The sequence below is a fragment of the Homo sapiens genome, chromosome 9 (assembly GCF_000001405.40).
Source record: "Homo sapiens chromosome 9, GRCh38.p14 Primary Assembly".
Lineage (NCBI taxonomy): Eukaryota > Metazoa > Chordata > Mammalia > Primates > Hominidae > Homo > Homo sapiens.
The window spans coordinates 109,169,954-109,193,264 of NC_000009.12; the positions used below are offsets into that span (position 1 = coordinate 109,169,954).

Consider the following 23,311-nt stretch of genomic DNA (forward strand, 5'->3'; position numbering starts at 1 on the left):
GTCCATGTGTTCTCACTGTTCAACTCCCACTTATGAGTGAGAACATGCAGTGTTTGGGAAAACCTATAGCTTTTATGGGTCACTCAAGCCTTATGCCTTTTCAGGGCCCAGCAACCTATTCGGCTCCTTCCATTTCATGAGATTCTCTCCCATCCACTCAAATTGCCTTTGGGGATTTTCTTTCTCTTCATGTTTTCTGACACGATTTAAGTCCTGGAAAGAGTGGAGGCAGACCTATTCCAACCTTAAGCACATGCTCCCCTCTTAGTTACATCCTAGGTTTGCAGAGACCCTCTGTTCCCCACCAATGTGACTCTACAGAACAGCTAAGAAATATTGTAGTTTCCTCTACTGTGCAAATTTTCTGGGGAGGAACTTTGCCTGAACATTCTGAGACCACTGGCTGTACAAGAGCTGGCCACTCAAACAAAAACTTAGAGATGAACCAGATTTAAATTCATTTTCATTTTAAAAAGAAAGACAGTACCTTTATTTTCTCTCCACCTCAAAGCAATTTCTCTGACACAACCTTTTTTGCGATTAAAAACTCCCAAAATCATTGCTGCATCTTGGTATCTGATGAGTAACCGATTTGCCCAGGCTTCTGACTGTCTAGTATATATAATTTTTCACTTTGGATTTTGTAAGAAATAAAAGCTGTGATTGTGGCAGTTCCTTAGAAAGTTAAACATGGAGTTTCCATTTGACCCAGCAATTCCAAGAGAATTTAAAACAGATGTTCACACAAAAACTTGTACACAAATGTTCATAACAATATTATTATTATTATTTTCTAAGACGGAGTTTCACTCTTGTTGCCCAGGCTGGAGTGCAACGGTGTAATCTTGGCTCACCGCAACCTCTGCCTCCCGGGTTCAAGTGATTCTCCTGCCTCAGCCTCCCTAGTAGCTGGGATTACAGGCATGCACCACCATGCCCAGGTAATTTTGTATAGTAGAGATGGGGTTTCTCCATGTTGGTCAGGCTGGCCTCGAACTCCTGACCTCAGGTGATCTGCCCACCTCGACCTCCCAAAGTGCTGGGATTACAGGTGTGAACCACCGCGCCCAGCCTAGCAGTATTATTCATAATAGCCAAAAAGCAGAAGCAACCCAAATATCTATCAACTGACGCAACTGATGACTGGATAAGCCAAATATGGTATATCCATATAATAACACATTATTAAGCCATAAAAAGGAGTGCAGTTCTGATACATGCTACAACATGGATGAACCTTGAAAACACTATGTTAAGTGAAAGAAGCCAGTCACAAAAGACTACATATTGTATGATTTTGTTCATATGAAATTTCCAGAATAAGCAAATCCATAGACGGAAAGTAGATTAGTGGTCGCCAGGTGATGCCAGGGGTCAGAATCAGTAGTGACTGCTAACAGACATGGGGTTTCCTTTTGGCATGATGTAAATGTTCTGGAATTAGATAGTGGTATTGTCTGCACAACATTGTGAATGCATTAGAAACCACTGAATTGTACGCTTTAAAATGGTTATAGTGATGAATTTTATTTGAGTTTTTAAAACTGTAATTTTTGAGATGGTGAAAGATAAATATGATACCAGAATATTCCTCTGCTATATTCCTGGGGAATATAAAATTCTGGGTGCATGCAAGTGGGATCTTCTGAATGCCCTAGGATCTCAAACTCTTCAAACATAGAATTTCCTATGCAGTTTACAATCCATAAAGCTGTGGGTTGCAGGTTTCCCAGACCCCTTGCAATAACCTTCCATGCCTACTGGGAATCTGCATCCTACAGTTTGGAGCCCTAGCTCTGGAATGACTATGTCAGTAAGCTGATTGTTTCCCCCGGACATAAGGTGTGTGTTGTGTGCCCATATAGTGCTGTTGTTTGGGTTTAAAATATATAAAAAATGTGAAACAATTGCGCCAATTCATTTTCATCCCTATGAATCCATCCAGCACAATTTCATCTTCTCAGTCACAATGCCAAGCACCCATCATTCACTTAAATAGGCAAATAACCAGGACAACTGCTGAAACCATGGAATCCTCTTATTTTACTGGTTAGAGGTGAGCTGCCAAAGGTACTGGGTTTCAAATACAGTAACAGCCAACTTGTTTGTGGTCAGACTTCCAGTGACGTCAACCTTCAGAAACTTCAACATCTGTGAACTCTGGGGGAAGCGGGGAAGAAGCAGGAAGCCCAGAGCCTCCTGGAAACACTGGCCAAAAAGCCCATGCATCCCTTCTTGGAAGCCAAGCAGATCTGACACATAGGAAATACTGGCTTTCCTGGCTTCCCCAAGAAACCTTCAGCTTTGCCCTGGAGGTTTCCATCAGCGAGCAGGAGGTGAAGAGCAGAAGCCTCAGAAAGCAGGTTAGAAGAGGAAGAGGGTGCTGGGTTGGCAAGAAGTGACAGCCCCATATTGTACGGGAACATATTTTGTATCATGTGCACAAGATAAAGAACAGCTAAAGCTGTTTTAAAAGTATAGCCGGGGGACATAGGGGTAAAAGGACCCAAACGCTACAATTGCCCCGGATAGCTCCACTGACAGAGCAGAGAGCAGTAAAAAACCATCAGTGAGAACAGCATAATATCCTATAAAAGGCCAAGCCAAGCCCTACACATATTGATAGCTCTTAATGATATCACTGCACCGTACCAAGGTATAAAAGGGGCTGATGTTTATAATCATGACCATGACTCATCAAGAAAAGGTTAAATACTCTCCAGTATACTCTGTTTACTAAGGCAGGGAAGTGCGTAATACATTTTAGAAAGATTTCCCTCAAAAAAAAATATATTAAAATTTTAAAGATTCAGCACTTAAAGGGTTAATCCTCGGTTATCTGAATATTCACATACATTCCTCATTTTACAACAATACTAGTAAATGAGGCATTACCTTTTTTTGTAGTCATTAGTATCAAATTATTGGCACCATTCAGTTTTAAGGAGAGGGGCAGGAGAGCAAACTATACAATATAACATAAAAATACAGTTCTGATACAAATATATGAGATCAGTTCCTCTTAACAAGTGGTCATAAGAAATGAATGAACATTTTACACACAAGGAAATACAACTAGTAAATCATCACATGGAAAAGTGCTCAGCCTTGCTAGCAATTAATGAAATAAAACAACTCTTCAAGAACAACTATACATACCTATTAAACTAGCAAAAATAAATAAAAATGGCAAAACCCAATACTGGCAGAGCTATTGGTAAACAGAAATGCTTATACATTGCTGGTGGCATCATAAATTGTCGAGGGGATTCAAGCATTCAGAGGGGGTGGGGAGGCTAAACTAGATGACCTTTAAGGTCCTTCCAACCCAAAGATTGGATCTTTCTAGAAAGCAATCTGGCAATATAAAACAAGAGCTATAAAATACTTCATGCTCTTTGACCTTGTAATCCCTCTTTGGAGATATTCCTAAGGGAATAATCCAAAAGAAGGAGCAGTTTTTTTTTTTTACAGACATTCATAGCAGCACTATTTATAAGAGTGAAAAATTAGATATAACTCAAATATCTAATAATGGGGTGAAGTGAGGTTACCCATGTTACATGGATATAAAGACATTTAAATTGGTGAGAGTAGAATCTGTGTTGACAAGAGGAGACAAGTGTTAGGCCGAGAAGTAAAACAAAGGAGAATGTACACAACGATCATAGCTATGTAAAAATATGTGTGTATTCATTGAGAAAGCTAGGGAACTAATTTAGAGGGATATTTTGTGGTTAGGGGGTTGCTTTATTCCTGCAAAGTTGTTCAAGTGCATTAATAAAAATTTAAAAACACATTTCTTGAAACTATATAAAAAGAGCAAAATTTCTTCTGGTCAAGATTCTATCAATACGACATGAATCGATCAACTTTAGAAATAATTTTCTGAATCTTCTTGATATTGAATCATCTTAACCTTGTAAGGATTTTTAGACAATGTAAGCTATCATTTCCTACTTTGGGTTCAATGATAAATTCTGTTTATTCCAAATAATATCATATCCAAGGAGTTCACAAGTTAAATTATATTTCAGATTAAGCTGAAGTACCTTCAGTCATAGTGATATGTAACTTTCTTTTTTTAGTTCTTCTACTCACATCTGAATACAAATGAATGTTAAAGACTTTATAAGATCTGTGTATTTATCAGTGTAAATGAAAAACCAGCAATAAAGAATTATTCTTTCATTAAAAATGACTCTTTAACAAACAGTCAAAGCTCGGTGCAAGTTTCAATCATACAAAATCAAATGGTTGAAATTGATAGTAAAAGATCCTACATCATATTAACCCCTGTGGTTATTAACAGATACACACAGGTACTTCTGAAAAGGAATCCCGTTTTCCCATCTTTCTTTTCCTAGACTTATCAAATCCTGTCTCAACTACATAGAGTAATAGAAAAACTCTAATGCTTAGGAGACATAAAATAACTTTTCCCATAAAAGTCAAGCCAGAAATTGGCTTCAACTAACCATGGAGACCTGGGCGAACAGAGCACACACTTGTATGCTGTGCTAGAGTGAGCACACAAAGCCCGAAGAAAGAAGACGGACAGAAGGCACCATGCCATCTTCCAGGTGACAAGGGGAGAATTTCACAGTTCGGTCATCAACAGTCTTTTCATCATCTTCTCTCTCTCCAGTTCCTGCCGGAGTGTCTCTGCACTAAAAAAAAGTATGTGACAAAATAGTGAGACAATCCCTCAAAAATTGCAGAAGCAGACAGCTTAAGTATCATCTCCCAGGTTCTTTCCTGATCTCAGTGTTGGACTTTCTTTTTTAGACTCCTTGAGGACTATCTACATTTGCTAGCATTTCAGTGATCTGAAATTGGCTACTTACTGGTTTCTCAGTCCCACCATGCTGAGAGTTCCTGGCTGACTATATGTCATTCATCTCTAAACCTCCAGAGCCTTGCGCAGTATCTGGTGCATGGCAGCCACTCAGTAAAGTGTTTTTTTTTTTTTTTTTTTTTTGAGATGGAGTCTCACTCTGTCACCCAGGCTGGAGTACAGTGGCGTGATCTTGGCTCACTGCAACCTCCACCTCCCAGGTTCAAGCGATTCTTCTGTCTCAGCCTCCAGCATAGCTGGGATTACAGGCACGTGCCACCATGCCAAGCTAATTTTTTGTATTTTAGTAGAGACGGGGTTTCACCGTGTTGCCCAGGCTGGTCTCGAACTCCTGAGCTCAGGCAATCCACTTGCCTCGACCTCCCAAAGTGCTAGGATTACAGGCATGAGCCACCAAGCCCGGCCCTCAGTAAAGACTTTTGAATGAAGATGTCCAGGGGTTAGATTTATTTAAATCATGCTTTAAATTGGTTTCATGTGCATTTTCTCCCAGGCTTTCATTTGATGAATATCTGAGGGAATGTTGTAACAAATAATTAATTATATTTTAATGAATCAAATTGAATGAAGTAAAATTGGCTGTTTTGAGAAGTTGCCTCTGACTTTTTGGACCTCAGGTCCAGTTGCATATCTATGTAACCTGTCTCCACTGTTTAAACACACACACACACACACACACACACACACACACACACACACACAGAGTAAATACACATCTTTTCATTGTTTTTAGTTAGAGATGGGGCCTTGCTATGTTGCCCAGGCTGGACTTGAACTCCTGAACTCCTGGCCTCAACTGATCCTCCCACCTCTGCCTCCTGAGTAGCTGGGATGACAGGCACGAGCCACCATGCCTGGCAAAATACACATCTTTAAAGGCACTAACCAAGTTTAATAATTTCATTCAGGGTAGAAAACAAAGTTTCTACTGTAGCCAACAAGGCCCTACGCAGTCTGGCCTTAACCCACAACTTCACAGGCCTCCTCTATTGTCATTCACTCTGCTCTGGCCACGCTGGCCCCTTAAACTTCCGTAACCATGTCAGGCACATGCTTCCTCAGGAGCCTTAGCACTGGCTGGTTGCTCTGCGCAGTACTCCTCCCAGGTATCTGCAGCTTTCTCTATAGCCCTTTTCAGGGCTCTGCTTAAATGCCACCTCATTGAGGCCATCCCAGGATACCTTATTGCCATTCACAATTTCATTTTCCTCCCTATCCCTTGTCAATATCACACACACGCACACACACACACACACACACACACACACACACACACACTCATTTGTTGTCTATCTCCTCTAACAGCCTACCCTTGTAAACATTTTTTTTTTTTTGAGGCAAAGTCTCACTCTGTTGCCCAGGCTGGAGTGCAGTGGTGCAATCTCAGCTCACTGAAACCTCCACCTACTGGGTTCAAGTGATTCTCCTGCCTCAGCCTCCCAAGTAGCTGGAATTACAGGTGTGCACCACCACGCCTGGCTAATTTTAGTAGAGATGGGGTTTCACCATGTTAGCCAGGCTGGTCTTGAACTCCTGACTTCAAGGGATCCTCCCTTGTGCTGGGATTACAGATGAGAGCCACCGCACCTGGCCCCTTTATAGACATTTCAATAAATACTTACAGAATAAATGAAAGAATGTAGGAAAGGCCTGTACGTGTCACAAACACAATGAACCTAGAGTCTCCCTGGTTTCCCTGTCACCAGAATTACCTGTCGGAACCTGCTGACCTGACCTACCTGGCTGCCAGAGAAACAGGTTTCCGGGTGGTGTAAATGGTCTGCACTGTGGAGACGGTCTCTGTCAAAGGCCTCAGGGTCGCTGCTGGGATCAGCGGGGAAGTCGGGCCAGGACAGCACTGTAATTTACTGTCTCTGAAGTCTGCCTGGAGAAGAAACAGGAAAGAGGAGATCAATCTCAATTTGGGTTCCATTTTCACACTGTCAGTTGCTCCCTAAGCCTTACTCTACAGTTCCTGTTCCTTTTCACTACCAGCTAAAATCGATTGTCATTTTAAGTGATTTTACTTTGTGCCAGACACCATGCTAAGTACTTGACACATATTAACTCTTGACAACCCTTTAAGGTAGCGATTATATTTCCTCACATCTTAGGCACCATCAGTTGTAAGATGCACCATTTTTGCATTTGCCAATCAGAAAGAAACATGTAGCCATTTAAACTTTGTCATGCCCACTATCAAACTTTGTCATGCCCAGTAGTAAACATTCTGATATCGGGAAATGTTAAAAGGTGAAAACAAATGTATATTTTAAAACTGATTTTATGGGGGAAAGTGAGGCTCAGAGAGGTTAAGTAATCTGCCCAAGGTCACACAGTTAGTAAGTGTTAAGAACAGTACTGAGAACCAGGGCTAGCTGACACCATAACTGGGGTTTTTCATTACTGTAGCAGTGGTTCCCAAAGTATGGGCCCCAGACTAGCAGCATCAGCATTATCTTAAAACTTGGTAAAAATGCAAATTCTCAGGCCTCACCCAAGACCACTGGGACCCAAGAATGCCTGGGGATGAAGTCCAACAATACGTGTTTCAACAAGACCTCCAGGTGATTCTTCTGGAGGAATTACAATAAAGCTTCAGAACTACTGGTCTAGAGTATACTGTCTCATTTGGAGAGGATAATATATTCTTGTCATTTTCATTATATAGCAAACTATTCTGTTTACTTGTATATAGAAAGCTTAGAAGATATATAAAAGTAGATCAGGCCGGGCACGGTGGCTCACACCTGTAATCCCAACACTTTGGGAGGTCGAGGTGGGTGGATCACCTGAGGTCAGGAGCTCAAGACCAGCCTGGCCAACATGGCAAAACCCCATCTCTACTAAAAATACAAAAAATCAGCCGGGCACGCTGGCGCACGCCTGTAATCCCAGCTACTCAGGAGGCTGAGGCAGGAGAATCGCTTGAACCTGGGGGCGGAGTTTGCAATGAGCCGAGGTTGCGCCACTGCACTCCAGCCTGGGCACAGAGCGAGACTCTGTCTCAAAAAAAAAAAAAAGTAGATCAATGAAGAAATTCCATAATTCCTTACTGTTGCCATCAGTATATTTCCTCACAGGTTCTCTCTCTCTTCCTCTCTTTCTCTCTCTCTTTCTTTCTTTCGACAGAGTCTCACTCTGTTGCCCAGGCTGGAGTGCAGTTGGCACAATGAGAGCTCGCTGCAGCCTCAACCTCCTGGGCTCAGGTGATCCTTCTGCCTAAGATTCTCAAGTAGCTGTCACTACAGGTGCGTGCCATGCCTGGATAATTTTTTTAATCTTTCGTGGAAACAGTCTCACTATGTTGCCCAGGCTGGTCTCAAACTCCTGGTTTCAAGTGATCCTCCCACTTTAGCCTCCCAAAGTGCTGGGATTATAGGTGTGAGCCACCATGCTTGGCCATTTAGTATTTTTTCAATGCATAGTTTTTGTTTGTTTTATATTTTTGATAATACCAGCTATATATTTTATAACTAGATTTTTCATGCTAGTTCTTGGCCCTGACCTTGGAGAAACTTATTACATGAGTTTCTAAAGAAGACACTCTGATCATCAAATGAGCAGTATCTTCTTTTTTTTTTTTTTGAGTTGGAGTTTTGCTCTGTTGCCCAGGCTGGAGGCCACAATCTTAGCTCACTGCAACCTCTGCCTCCCAGGTTCAAGTGATTCTCCTGCCTCAGCCTCCTGAGTAGCTGGGGTTACAGGTGCCTGCCACCGCACTCAGCTAATTTTTGTATTAGTAAGTGTAAGTGTTAAGAACAGTATTCAGAACAAGGGCTAGCTGACACCATAACTGGGGTTTTTTTTAGTAGAGATGGGGTTTCACCATGTTGGCCAGGCTGGTCTCGAACTCCTGATCTCAGGTAATCCACCTACCTTGGCTTCCCAAAGTGCTGGGATTACAGGCATGAGCTACTGCACCCAGCCTTTGATGCCATTTTTTATTCTTTCTGAAAAAAGAGGAAAATTTGCACTGATGGTGCAAAGGTGATAGTAAGTAAATGGGGCAGGGCCTTGGCATGAATTGAGGTAGTGGCACCAAACTGTACTAGTAGTCATTGTGTTCTTGATTGCCATATACTTCAAGTAAAAAAAAAAAAAAAAAGCCAGTTTCACTAAAGAATGACCTTGAAGAAGCAGTAAAAATTACATTATTAAATCTCAACCCTAAGTATCTGTTTTTTAATATTTGTTGAATGAGGAAATGAATGAGTGAATGAATGAACAAGCTTCCACTGGAACAAAGCAGGTAACAGAAGGACAGAGCCAGATTAGAAAGAAGCATGTAGAGCAGAAATCTGGCCAGAGCCAGGCAGGGCTCCCCACCCTAGATGGACCAACATACTCGGCTGAGTATGAGCAGAGACCCAGTTAATACACCTGAATACAAAGTAGAAACTGGTTTTGGGATCAAGCAAGAGCCCAGCTGTTGAAACCCAGCTCCATCAATGCTAGATCGACTGCCAGACCAACTTTGTGCAGAGCTTCCCAGCGCTGCTAAACAACCCCTGTCACTGTCGCCAGGATAGGTCTGGAGGCCTGTGGAGAGGCCAAACCTGCAGAAAGTTCAAGTGTCATGATCTTGGCAGGAAGGAGATGAGAACACTACACACAGGGGTGAGAAAATTGAGAAGCTGAAGCCCATGAGCTTGGCTTCTGTTACCATCTACCTGTCACTGCCTCCCTAGTCATTGTTTCCAGTCTAGTCCACTCTCTTGAGTTACAGACTTGGATTTCCAACTGCCCATTCATTGTGTCCACCTGGATGTTTCAAAGGCATTTCTAATCCATCATGGCCAAAGGCAAACTCATCTCTCCCAACCAAGTCTTTTTCCAAGTTTCTTTATCTCAGTGAATGGACCCACTGTCCATCCACATTCTGCAAATCAGAAATATGGGAACCATTTCTGACCCTCTCTCTGCCTCATCTAATCCTGAATCTTACCAGCCTCCTAAATATCTTCCCTATCTGTGCACTTCTGTCCACCTCCACCAGCAAAACCACTGTGGGTCAAGCTTTCTGCTCTCTCTCCCTTAAGCCACTGTCCTGCGTTTCCAGGCTACTGTCCTGAATCCACTCTGCCTGGATGCCACTGTCCTCCCACTGTGATCACAGGGATCCCTTCCAAGTGCATCTGCCCTGTCACTGCCCTGCTCAAAGTCCCTCAAAGATTTCCTGTTGCTCGTAGGATGGAGATCAGAATCCCTACTGTGGCCTACAAGGCCAACATGGTTGTGCCCCTCCAGTTTTATCACCACCTACATCCCCTTCCTCCTCTCTCACCCAGCCCTGCTTGCTTTCCGCATCCCAGTCCCACTGGCCTGTTTTTCAGTCCCTTGAATGTGTGATGACCCCGCCCGCCCTGGGGGTCTGGCTCATGCTGTTCCCTCTGCTGCTCCAGCTGTCTTCGAGCCACTCTTGCTCAGTTCTTAAAAGTCCCAGCATGGTTTCTGCCATTGGCTTCCTGCTCCATCTTGGCCCCCAGCTTTCGGGAAGGGCTTCCCTGAGTGTCTCACAGCACTGCCAAGGCTGGGCAGAAGGCCAGAGTGCCCCACTATGGCCAACCAAGGGAGGTGGAGCCGGAGCTTCCAGCTGGGGAGCTGTGTCCAGCAAGACTGCAGGGAGCCAGGACGAGTGTCAGGGAAAGAGCATCTAACATTCTGGCAGAGCCCCATGTCTCTGCCCTCTCATTCTTAAAAGGCAGATGCTGGAAGCAGCTCATGACCCTAGAAATGGACTGTTCTAGGAACCTGTTTTTCCCTCCGCCTGCCCTGCTGGACACCTTCCCACCTCTGCTCATCCTCTGAAACTTGAATCAGCCACTGCTCTCTCCCTCCCTGTGTGGCTGAAGCCATGTTGGGTAGTGGCCATCATCCATCTCGTAAGACTGCACTTAGAGCTACCTTTAGCCACCCACAGCCCACCTCACAGATCCTCCAGATGGCACAAAAACCCTTCGGAAGGAGCTTCAGGGATCATAGAAATTGCAAGCTCTGGTTCCCGGGAGGAGGACAGAGTGAGAGGAAGGAGGTGTGGACCCCAGATTCCTCACTTCTGCTCCATCTAATTGCTCATTATACAGTGAGCTTCTGCAGAAGCTTTCATTTAAAGAATGAGTTGAGCCCTGAAAAGAAGCATGAACATTATCAAACTCTCTCTTTGTAGATGAGGAAACTACAGGATTTAAACATTTGGCAGAATTTTTTAAAAAATCAAGACAGGGTCTCACTCTGTTGCCCAGGCTGGAATCCAGTGGTGCAGTCATAGATCACTGCAGCGTCAGCCTCCTGGGCTCCAGAGATCCTCCCGCCTCAGCCTCCTGGGTAACTGGGACTACAGGCAGCTAATTTATTATTATTATTATTTTGTAGGGACAGGGTCTCTCTATGTTGCCCAGGTTGATCTCGAACTTCTGGTCTCAAGCGATCCTCCCACCTCAGCCTCCTAAAGTGCTGGGATTACAGGCATGAGCCACTGTGCCTAGCCTTGGCAGAATAAATAAGCTGCCCAGTGACACCCAGAGAGGTGGTGACAAGAAGTCTGTTGTCAGGGTGACTGGTTCTTGTTCATCACAGCACCCTGCCTCTCCAGCCTTGAGAAACAACAATCATAACTGACAGGTGTGGGATGTTTTGTGGTTGGTAAAACACTTTCAAATTCTTGGTCCCTTTTGATCCTTGCCCCAACAGGATATGAGGAGGATATTCTTACTACTACTTTCACCTTAAGTAAGAAGAGGGGGCAGGCATGGTGGCTCATGCCTGTAATCTCAGCACATTGGGAGGCCAAGGTATGAGGATCACTTGAGCCCAGGAGTTCGAGACCAGCCTAGGCAACATAGTGAGACCTCATCTCTAAAAGCAAAAAAGAAAAAGCTGCTGGTGGTCAGGGTAGTAAAGTGACCTACCTAAGACCACACCATTATCAAGATCCAACCCAAAAGAATTGAAAACAGGTGTTCAAACAGATACATGTACACACATATGCATAGCAGCACTATTCACAATAGCCAAAAGGTGAAAACAATCCCAAAACCCCCAATAAATGAGTGGATAAACAAATTGCAGTATATAGATACAATGGAATAATATTCCATCATAAAAAGAAATGAGGCTGGGCATGGTGGCTCACGCCTGTAATCCCAACACTTTGGGAGGCTGAGGCAGGTGGATCACCTGAGGTCAGGAGTTGGAGACCAGCCTGGCGAACGTAATGAAACCCCACCTCTACTAAAAATACAAAAATTAGCCAGGCGTGGTGGCAAGCAGCTGTAATCCTAGCTACTCAGGAGGCCGACGCAGGAGAAACACTTGAACCTGGGAGGTGGAGGTTGAAGTGAGCCGAGATCGTGCCACTGCACTCCAGCCTTGGCAGTAGAACAGATCTCAATCCGTCTCAAAAACAAACAAACAAACAAAAAAAGAAATGAAGTATTGATACATGCGTGGATGAACCTCAAATACATTATGCTAAGTGAAAGAGGCCAGTCACAAAAGGTCACATATGATACAATTGATTTATATGAGATATCCAGACTAGGTAAATCCACAGACACAGAATGCAGACTGGTGGTTGCCAGCAGGTAGGAACAAAGGGAAAATGAGGAGGAACTGCTTAATGGGTGTGAGGTTTTTGGAGGACGCAATAAAAATGTATTGGAACTGATAGAAGTGGTCACTGCACAACACTGTGAATGTACTGTCACTGAATTGTCACTTTAAAATGGTTAATTTTATGTCAATGTCACATCAATAAAATAGAGGCAGACTGCAAATCCAAGTTTCTTCCCAACCTCACAGAGTTCAACGGTGATCAAAAGAAGCGGTTGACCTTGCTGTCTGGCATCCCGCAGAAAAGCACACCGCATGGGAACAAGGGTTTAAAATGCACATCTGTTTTCTGGATCTACTTACAGTAAACTGTGGCCCTGTGGTGAAAGTATCAGGAAACGGGTTCATTGTATCAACCGGGAATGTTTTTATCTTCAAAAGAGAGAAAGACAAGGGGGTTACCTTCAGATTAGAAAACAAAGTTTTGCAATCTTTGGCAGCGCACCTTTAAAATGGAACCAAAGGATTCAGGGGTGCCCCCGCAGAGCCTTCATCACTCGTGTAAGGGCACATACAAAGGGTCCCTCAGGAGTGTGAGCTGGTGGTTGTATCTGTGCCTGGAGTTGGACTGCAGGACGGGCCTCAGCAGGGATGACAGCCTGGAGTCTCGTGTTCCTAGAGCGCCCCCACACTTGCCTCCCCCTGGAGCTGCCTTCAGCGGGATCTGCTTGGCTTTCCAGGCCTGACTCATAAAAAGCCACAATCAAGGTGGATAATGAGGGAGTCAGAGTTGCCTGAGGTGGCTTCTGATGACTTCTCCATAGCTGTGGGAATGGCCTAGAGGCTGCTGAGAGGTCACATCCTGGGACACGGTCTCTTACAGCAGGCAGGGTACAAGGCGGCTGGGCTAATTAAGCTAGAAAGTATTCCCTGTCTAATCACTTCAGTTACTGGACTCCCTGTACGCTTTGGCCAGTAGAGGGAGACCTCAGGGAAACCCGTGGAAGCATGGGAGAATCCTGCCCCCACGGCCTTTGGGAACAGATGGCTTGATGCACAAAGATGCCCAGTGCTGGGAGTACCTGTAGTACTGAGCTAGTCTGAAAAAGGCCAGACGAACAGCTGATCAGGTAGTGGTGGTGAAAAAGACTCTTGACTTCCATGTCTTTCTCTTTGGTCATTTTGTCTTTGGCCTCCTGGAGAACTTGGGAAATGGAAGGGCTTATTTTTTCAAGCTGGCCTAGGGTACGTCATCAGGCCCAGGAACCAGATGACTCTGACACCAGCTTTGTGCACATTCCTGGGGGACAGAAACTGTCTGCACACCTGCTGGTGAATGCATACCATACCACCCGCCAGCAGAGGGCTGCAGGCAAGACACCAAGGCCACCACTGCCCAGGGGCAGCAGGCTTTGTGTGTCTCGAGGTCTTGCCTGTGGACACTGGGATAGCTACTCAATGCTCTTCAGTGGCTCCAATGGGAGGGTGAGGCAGGGATGAGTAAGAACACATTAGCTCAGACCCAAATCAGCCAAGCTTTCCCAAATGGGTAAAGCAAGTCTCCCCCATGTGGGGATGACAATATCCTTGCCACGTGTACTGAGATGTCCAGCCCAAGCCTGCTCCCCTTCCCCCAAATTTCTTTGGTCTCTTTACACATCTCAAAATTGCCAGAATAGGCCTGAAATTGCCTTTTTGACTCAGGTGAGAGAAGGACCCTTGGGGTGAAGTCTTGGGGTACATTCTCCTCTTGTTGCCTATTGAGTCAGCATGGTGCTCTGAGACCAATATCCTAGCAGAAAGTAACAGACAGATAAGACTCTCAGATCATCATGAAGCAGAAAGGGAAAGTGGTTTATTTATTTATTTTTTGAGACGGAGTCTCACTCTGTCACCCAGGCTGGAGTGCAGTGGCGCAATCTCAGCTCACTGCAACCTCCGCCCCCCAGGTTCAAATGATTCTCTTGCCTCAGCCTTCTGAGTAGCTGGGATTACAGGCACGTGCCACGATGCCCAGCTAACTTTTGTATTTTTAATAGAGTTGGGGTTTTACATGTTGGCCAGGCTGGACTCAAACTCCTGACCTCAGGTGATCTGCCTGCCTCAGCCTCCCAAAGTGCTGGGATTACAGGCGTGAGCCACTGTGCCCTGCCAGAAAGTGGTTTATTATTGCTATGAAAGAAAGGTGAAAGTTAGCAATCTCAAAGAATTATTTTATACCTGCTGTAAATTAGAAAAATAGATTTCAACAATTACACTCTGTGTTGCTAAGGCTGTGGAGAAAAGCAAAGTCACTCTCTTCTGATGGCACTATCTGTTAGCACAACCACTTTAGAAAGGGGGCAAAAGCCAAAGTCACCATGTTTAATCCAGCAGGGTATAGCCTAAGAAAATAAAATTCCTGATGCAAAAAGCTATATGTGTTCTCCCAAATAATGACAAACTGCGAACAAAGCGCACATCCTGTAGTAAAGAATGTGTTAGATAAATGGTAGACCATTCACTTGATGAAATACAAATAGTCATATAATGTGGTAACAAGAACAAGCTAGAAACAACATAGCAGCATTAAGTGAAAAGAGGAAAACAGGAGAGAATATGGTTACTATGATTTAACTATGTAAAATTATGAATGATATGAATAAATAGAAGGAAATATGTAAAAATGACAAAAAATCATGCTAAATTGGGATGACAGGTAATTTTGTTCACATTGTCAGGTAGCACTCCTATTACATCATTAGCTTGATAAATAGCAGAAGAAGACAAGTTTAAAGAAGTTTTATTTTCAATAGAAATGCAACATAAGAGTCCGTCTGGTGAGTACCAAAGCATATATTTCTCTCTGGGGAAAGCATCTATGCTCATCAAAATTCTAGGAAAACAAACTCTTCTTGATTCTTGAGACCTAGAGGCGAAGTGGGCTCCATAGCTGCATGTTCCAAACTGACCAGGGCCAGCTGGACTCCAAATCCTCCATCCATCTGGAGTGAGGGCACCTGTCGATGGGCTCTGCCCGAGATCTGGGGCTTCTGCACGCCCACCCAGGCTTCCACCTCGCCTGGTGGCTCCTGCCCACCTCACCTCTCCTGGCCAGGCCCCTCTCCCTGCCAGGGTACCTACCAGCCTCGTTTTGATTGGAGGGTACATGCAAACTCCAGTGGTCTCTTCCTTCATGGGGAGAGAGAGTGGAGGAGAACAGCGAGAGTGGGCACAGTGGGGGTTGCTGGCGGGCTCTGCCTGCTCACGAGGAGAGGAGAGAAGGGGAGGAGGAGGTGGCAAGAGAAGGGGAGGAGGAAGAGGAGGTAGGGGAAGGGAAAGGAGAGAAAGACAGCACAGTGCAAGACAGATCTGGCAACTCCAGACTGTTCTCAAGCCAGCCTCACCCACAGCCTACTTCCAGGCTCTGGCCAACTGGCTTCTGGTCCCACCCCCCACCCTCTCTCTCAGCCTTCTTTTCTCCTTTCTGTCTTTCATCTGTTGTCTCCATCATCTGAGCAGATGACATACCAAGACCCCATTCCCAGGCCTGGTAGGTAGAGGCTATCTCCTGTGCCAACTGCACAGGACAGGTAGTGGCTTCTTGGCACGCGGTTGAGGGTTCTGAAGCATTGCCCAGGCCAAGCCAGAAAGATAGCCAGGATGACTTAGTGATGTGAGCCATGGAGGAAGTGAGGAGTGGCCACACACTTGAAGCATTTGCCTTCCATGCTCAGTGCCCTCCTGCACTCTGCTGAACAAGGGCACACACTGTGGTATGTCAGTGAGTGGATATCAACAGAGGGCACCAGGAAAGAAATATATCATGGGGAGAAACATATCGTTTCATTTCCCTTTTTTTTTTTTGAGACTCGCTCTGTCACCCAGGTTGGAGTGCAGTGTCATGATCTCAGCTCACTGCAACCTTTGCCTCTCAGGTTCAAGTGATTCTCCTGCCTCAGCCCCCAAAGTAGCTGGGACTACAGGTATGCACCACCATGCCCAGCTAATTTTGTAATTTTAATGGAGACAGGGTTTCACCATGTTGGCCAGGCTGGTCTCAAACTCCTGACCTCAAGTGATCCACCCGCCTCGGCCTCCCAAAGTGTTGGGATTACAAGTGTGAGCTACCATGCCATATTTTTTAAGAGACAGGGTCTTGCTCTGTCACCCAGGCTGGAGTGCAGTCGTGTGATCACAGCTCATGGCAGCCTTAAAATCCTGGGCTCAAGCAATCCTCCTGCCTCAGCCTCCTGAGTAGCTGGGACTACAGATATGTGCCACCATGCCTGGCTAATATTTTAATTTTTCTTTTTTATAGAGGCGAGGTCCCACTATGTTGCCCAGGCTGGTCTTGAACTCCCAGCCTCAAGAGATTCCCCACCTCCTCGGCCTCCCAAAGTACTGGGATTACAGGCATGATCCATTGTGCCCAGCTGTAACATATAGTTGAGGATTTCATATGTCTTGGCTCTTTGTTATCTGTGTTCAGAAAACAAACTGACCCTGACCCATGACGAGATGCATGGGCCCAGCCGTGGCATCTCGTTTGACACTGGGACACCCTGCTACTTAGCTGGAAAATACCAAACATTGTGAAAAAAGTGCCACATCCTTTGGGATACGCAGGGTTCTCCACCTTATCCTTGAATAGCACCATGCGCCCAGCAGAGGTCCAACAGCTTGTACTGGTGAGGATGAGGTTGGAGGACAGAGGATGCTTGATGTTAGGAGAGGGAACCACGGACAGGGTTATTTTGGGTTTCAGGGAGGGACCATTTGCTCCAGAGAACAAATATACACGTCTTTTATCTCAAGAGAGTTTCCTTAAATAGTTGATATCATCCTGCTGTGAAGAATAAAACACAGCCCCTGGGTAAGTTTCATAGAAAAATGATCAAGAAAATTGCCAGCCTCTTTTCCGTCTCCAAAGTGATCTATCTCTGTCCTCTTTACAATTGTGCAGTCCTGGACAATTTCCAAAGGGCTTTTTACAACTATTATCTCACAATGGTCTTCACGATGGCCTGTTTTACTATTCAAATTTGGGAGATGTAGAAATTGCATTTGCAAAGTCTTAGTCCATGGTTCATTTTGTTGACTGTTTCTAAATCTAGTTTTTAGTCAAGTGAATCCATCTGAGTCACCTGCAGTTAACTTTTACCAGACTACTTAAAACCCTCCTGCTGCTCTCTATGGACCTCAGGGTATATCCTGCAGAAATATGTCTCCCTGCTACCCTCAGGAACAGTTCCCACTACTGCCCCAGGGCATCCATACTCCAACCAGAAACAACTACAACAGGGGACCCAGGCCACTGGGTCTTTTCTTCTCTGATGATAGCAGGCACGCAATGGGTATTTTTTGAAGAAAATAAAAGCTGGCACAAATGACCAAGAAACATGGCCACACTGCCTAGAAGCCAAAATGTGTCCTGGCCACCAACTGAAGAACATAATGAGCGCCTTAAGGGATGGTCCAGCATTTGACTTTCGTGGTAAAGAAGTGTTGATCCACCGCACAAGCCTTTCTGACCTTTCTCAATATACATCTGATTGGATTGAAACAAAAGAACATCCTGGGGCTCCCACGCTCCAGACTGTTGTTACGTGAGAAGGAAATAAGATAACACATGGAATCAAAGGCTATTTTGGAATACCACTTAATTTTTTTCTCCTAGTATTTCCTTTCTTCCTTGGGTCTTTTCTGCAGGCAAGCAGCTACATTCATCTGTACATGCTTGGCTTTTGAGTTCAAAATCTGACTCTCGGGGAAACAGAAAGATTCTCTGCATAGATACATGATGATGAAAATGTGTAAGGCTTCTTCATCATCCAGATAGGAAAAGAGATGGCTAGTTTGACCATTGGAGAGAAAAGTCAGAGGGAAAGGGAGGAGGAGTAGACTTTAGTGAGTACCGAGCAAAGGGGCCCTGTGCAACTTTCTCCAGACACTGAGGCTGGGAAGCAGGGACTGAAGAGCAGCAAGAACCAGCCCTGCCAACCCCCTCAGGTAGAGCTGAGGAGATGGCAGGCCCCAGGACAGGGTGGCCTCCAAACAGAATGTTGTCCAACAGGTAGAGAGTCACACATCCTGGCAGGAGAGTGATCTCCACCCACCCAAAACAGCCACGAAAGAACCAAAGAGAGGCCTAGATGTATCAGTGAACAGATGACATCATGGACTAAATAGATTTCTCTCCACCTCCCTGTGCCCTAGGGAACACAGCCAAAATCACAGAAGGGGTACCCTAATTTAATTTGAGATTCAGCTTCAGCCCTGCTGGTATAATTAAGTTCAAAATAAAAGTAAGTTATTGCACCAGATGGAAACTCCCTTCTAACACCTAACCCAGGGCCTGTTCCAATGCCCTACACAGCCTTCCTCTGGCCAGGGCCCTGTCCTTCCAGACACATGAACTTTTGACTAACATGTCATGGCCCAGAAGGGATCTGGGTGTTAATTGGCTCTGCTTTGCAGTTGGGTAAGTGGTTCATGAAGCATGGGGATCAGAGAGGGACGAGCCCCAAAGAGAAAGCGTAAAGAACACAGAAAGCACAGGTATTCATGGTCTGTGTTACCTGGGGAGGGAAGCTAGCACGGTAGACTTGGAGTAGCGTGCAGGACTCCGCATTCTAGGGTGAACATCACTAATGCATCAATGTACCCTCCCCCAACTCCCCTCGCTCAGTCAACGCCAATGCCCCCAAGCACCTGCTCACATTCACATCCTAAAGAAAATACCAACTGGAGAGCAGGTGCTGTCTTGACTCACTTGCCTCCTTCCCTTCTCACCCACGTATTCCACCTCTTGCAACCCAGGCAGAAATTCAGATCTGATTACGAACTCTGATACAGAATCGGAAATGGAAAGACGTGAAGCTGCAAAAGTTCTAAAGCTTAAGATTGCTAAATTGAGCTACCTAATAAAAGAGTTGGGGATTAGAGAGGAAAAGGTTTGGGAAAAGGAGGGGGAAGAAACCTACAAAAGCGAAGTTGGAAAGAGTGTTTCTTTGTGGAGAGTTTGGGAATGAAAGTCCCTGGAGTCAAGCAGGAATGTAAGAGAATAAAAGAAAAGGCAAAAAGAGATCAAGATGTGTTACAGGAGGTGTTAATGTAATATTCTTTAATGATTTTTTGAGAGATGCCTGTTCCAGATTGAAACTTTTTATTAATCTGGGCTCTTTGGACTGTGCTTCTTTGAAAACCACTCTACACAGAGACCGGCCACAAGTATCAAGAGTGATAAAAGTGAAAGGCTTATGCTAGTTCTTTTTCTTTTTATTTATTTATTTTTTTTGGAGACGGAGTTTCACTCTTGTTGCCCAGGCTGGAATGCAATGGCGCGATCTCGGCTCACTGCAACCTCTGCCTCTGGGGGTCAAGCGATTCTCCTGCCTCAGCCTCCCAAGTAGCTGGGACTACAGATGTGTGCCACCATGCCCAGCTAATTTTTGTATTATTAGCAGAGATGGGGTTTCACCATGTTGGCCAGGCTGGTCTTGAACTCCTGACCTCAGGTGATCCACCCGCCTTGGCCTTCCAGAGTGCTGGGATTACAGGAATAATACCACCATGCCCAGCTTTTTCTTTTCTTTTCTTTTCTTTTGAGATGGACTCTCGCTTTGTTGCCCAGGCTGGAATGCAGTGGCGTGACCCTGGCTCACTGCAACCTCCGCCTCCTGGGTTCAAATGATTCTCTTGCCTTAGCCTTCTGTGTAGCTGGGATTACAGGCACATACTACCACGCTCGGCTAGGTTACGCTGGTTCTGATAGTGTCTTGGTGGAACGTTGCTGAATGAAGGCAAGATCTCCAGTTCCCTGTTGGTCCAGCACTGGGCCTAGGGACCAGGATAGTGGTGGGGCCTCAGGAGTCTCATCCAGTAGGAGGCAGGGGGCTAGAGATAGGCTGTAAGCTTGGGAAATGACTACATGGAAAAAGTATTCACCAAGGAGGGGTAATTCACTGCCTGTGTGATGAGTAGCACATGGGAAGTTCTGACATTCATGCCCGTAAAGGGCTGCTTCCTCTTCAGCAGGAAATGCTGATGGGAAGGCCCAGAGAGAGCAGCCACAGGCAAAGGGCACAGGGCTGGTGGCAAAATAACCATAGCTCATCCAGGCTGAGTCTCCTAGACCAAGGTACCTGAGCACTTCCCTTCCTCATGCTCCACTCAGCAACTCTGAGGACCAAACCTGGGCTGACAGCTTGGAGATGGTCCCAGGGCTGTCCCACAGCCCAGACTGAGACCAGGGCATCTGACCCGCTTTGAGGGAGGGTACTGGCTAACAGGGAAAGACACAGACACATCCTGGATTGGGCCATCTGCCACTGGAATGGCAGCCCAGAGTCTAGGTTCTAGAACTGGCTTTGATACACACTTGCTATGTGACTTGGGACAAGTGTCTGCCCCTGTCTGGGCCTTGGTTTTCCCATCTATATGTGAAGGACTGGATGAGATGGTCCCAAGGCATTGTTCCACCTGATAGGCTGGGGCCAGTTAGTTGAGGAAGCCCTGGTCACAAGTCAGGCACGGGGGTCACCCTTGCCTCCCTCTACTTCTGGCTCCTTCCTCCCATGGATAAGGAAGCCCCTCTGCAGCCCTCATCAGCAGCATCCAGGACACTGACTTGCGGAGGCAGGCCTGGTCCCCTGAGATAGAGACCTGTCCATCACCCTACCAACAGGTAGGAGGGCTGCTGCTTGCATTTCTGATGCTGGGGGAAGCAGATGGAGGGAGGAGGACCAAAGGGAGAAGCAGATGGCTGGAGTCCCCTCTTCCCTTCTAGGACCCTTTGGCGCTCATGGAAATAGGATTCTGGAACAAAGTGAGGTCAAGGCCCATGGTACCAAGGAAAGCCCAAAATGGAGGAAGCTCTTGCCAAAAAGCTAGATGCCCAGGATACCTTCTCCCTGAGGCCTGCATACATGCACTCATGCCTCAAAGGATGCTTTATCCTGAGGACACACATTCACTGCAAACTTCAGCTGTGAAGTGGTGGCTGTGTCTCAGTGCAGTGCAAGGACCTCAGTTGTCCCATGCCTGAGCAGTGAAACAGGCCCATACCCATTTCATAGCTTAGTTGGAGATACCCTGAGATGTGAGCAGCGTGTCTTGGGGAGAGAGAATGAGCTTCCTATTACTGAAGGGGTGCAAGCAGAGGCTGGACAGTCATTTGGCAGGCATTGCCCCTCAGATCACGGCATCTCCAATTCCCTACCAGATGCTGCTTCCTTTCTCATCTCAGCCTGTTCAGTTCAAACAAAGAAAAGACCATTTAAATCTATAAGTAATTAAATCTACAAGCTGGACCTGCAACACAATGATCTCTAAGGGAATCTCATCACTCTTGTCAAAGCCACCATGTTTTTTTTTTGGAAATTGACCCTAATTCTCAGACCCACCAGGCCCTTTACTTGTTCCCTGAAAAGGGTTTCTCACCTGCAGGAGTCCCACAAGGGCTGCCATCCCTAAGGGGAGACCTGTATGCAGAGGATGGAAGATGGCAGGAGGTGCGAGGGGCCTGGAAAGCTGGGGTGTGGCCTTGAGCCAGTGCTTCAGACCAGATGGATCGTCGGAAGCAACAGCAAGAGATTCCCCACGGGTGGGCATGCAGGGCGCAGTCCAGGAAGCCAAGAAGCCGAGAACAAAACACCGAGGAGCCCTATAACACTCGAAGTGCAGTAGACAGGCATGGGCAGGACCCCCACAACTACCCTCGGAGCAAAGGAGCACCCCTTCCTCCCTCAAGGGCTCTAGAGGTGGAGGGACCCACAGTGCCTGACCCCTGGATGAAAGCTGATCCCTGAGCCTCCAGGACAAGAGGAAGAGGCTCCTCAACAGCAATGCCCACCTCTGTCCATCCGTCCCACTGCCAAGATGTTTCTATGGTCTGTGACTTTTCTGGTTTTAGCAAAATAGGAAGTTTACCAGAGGAGTGGCTTCTGTGAAATCCATCAGAAGATCACCCGGCTCCAGGGTAAAGGCACCTCCTCGGTCAGAGGGGCTCTAGGGAGACAGACAAACACCCCTGGTTAGAGACGGCACTGCATTGATGATAAAGTTCACCAGAAAAGACAGGCAGAGGTTCCCAGCCTCTCCTCTACACTGATCTCATTAGCAATGACAATCCCCTTGTATTTCCCTCACCAAGTAGTGTACAAAATGTTGAGACTTGAACCCCAATTTTTTCATAGGTAGAAGTAGGCATGGTGCAGAGAGCTGTCCCTTTCAGAGCTGCGGGCCGCTTTTCTTAAGTGCTCTTAGTGCTTTTCTACTGGTCTTTTGGGGAAAAAACACTTGAAAGAGTCCTCTGAATGTATAAAGAGAGAGCAAAGACCTTGTCCTAGATTAAGAGGATCAAATCCAGGGTCCTCCAGGAGCTAAACTGATCTGCACACTAAGAGCAATGATCTTCATGGCAGGTGATGGCATGTGGATTATGTTGCTTGCTTTTGGAAAATGTTTTGCCCTCCTGCTCTGGGGTCTTAGCTGCATGGATGGCCTCGAGGTCTTTTAAGGGAGAAAAAAGAAGTCCCATCAACGTGGTTCAAGCAAGGCCCCAAGGAGAGAGATGGCCAGGAGAGGGAGCCCTGTGGCCTTTGGTGGGATGCCACTTGCATCCCCTCCACGCCACCCCAACCCCCTTCTGTTTCGTAAATGTTTCGTTCAGCCTGGTTTTAACCACAGTGTGGGATATGTGATAGGAGCCTGGGTCCACACCTGAGACAAAGTTGTACAGGGGGCTCCACACAGTGGAGGATAATCCAGGCTGAGATGCCAATAGGTGGAGGTGATCTATAGAGAAGCAGAGAACCTCGATCTTGGCCAGTCGCTGGCTGAGCACTCCAGGCAGGTTTCTGTGCAGAACACTAAGCAGAGATATTTCCAGAGACACCCAGGGAAGGCACCAGGTGA

The 23,311-nt window shown here is 46.0% G+C and overlaps 1 protein-coding gene across 8 annotated transcripts in view, besides 2 other annotated features; it reads right to left on the reverse strand.

Annotated features, from left to right (window-relative positions):
- The window catches only part of EPB41L4B (erythrocyte membrane protein band 4.1 like 4B), a 149,086-nt gene continuing 127,795 nt past the window's right edge, over positions 2,021–23,311 (reverse strand). For 2 of the 8 annotated variants that reach the window (XM_011518791.3, XM_011518790.2), the window contains exons 22-27: positions 22,325–22,402; positions 21,836–21,949; positions 15,536–15,652; positions 12,776–12,844; positions 6,598–6,743; positions 2,021–4,670 (exon numbers count right to left, since the gene is read on the reverse strand). In XM_011518791.3, the coding sequence (XP_011517093.1) occupies positions 4,601–4,670; positions 6,598–6,743; positions 12,776–12,844; positions 15,536–15,652; positions 21,836–21,949; positions 22,325–22,402 (594 nt within the window). In that variant the 3' untranslated portion in view covers positions 2,021–4,600. The remainder of the gene's footprint in view (positions 4,671–6,597; positions 6,744–12,775; positions 12,845–15,535; positions 15,653–21,835; positions 21,950–22,324; positions 22,403–23,311) is intronic. The other 6 variants (NM_019114.5, XM_017014813.2, XM_017014814.2 and 3 more) reach the window with 3 other exon arrangements.
- Positions 10,276–10,570: a silencer, noted in NCBI's record as "tiled region #1434; K562 Repressive non-DNase unmatched - State 23:Low". NCBI's record gives its function as "represses a minimal TATA promoter and a strong SV40 promoter by Sharpr-MPRA in K562 cells {active_cell/tissue: K562}" and the evidence as "EXISTENCE:reporter gene assay evidence [ECO:0000049][PMID:27701403]".
- Positions 15,564–16,063: an enhancer, noted in NCBI's record as "H3K4me1 hESC enhancer chr9:111947797-111948296 (GRCh37/hg19 assembly coordinates)". NCBI's record gives its function as "activates a minimal SCP1, AML or CMV promoter by ChIP-STARR-seq in primed H9 embryonic stem cells {active_cell/tissue: H9 hESC(primed)}" and the evidence as "EXISTENCE:reporter gene assay evidence [ECO:0000049][PMID:30033119]".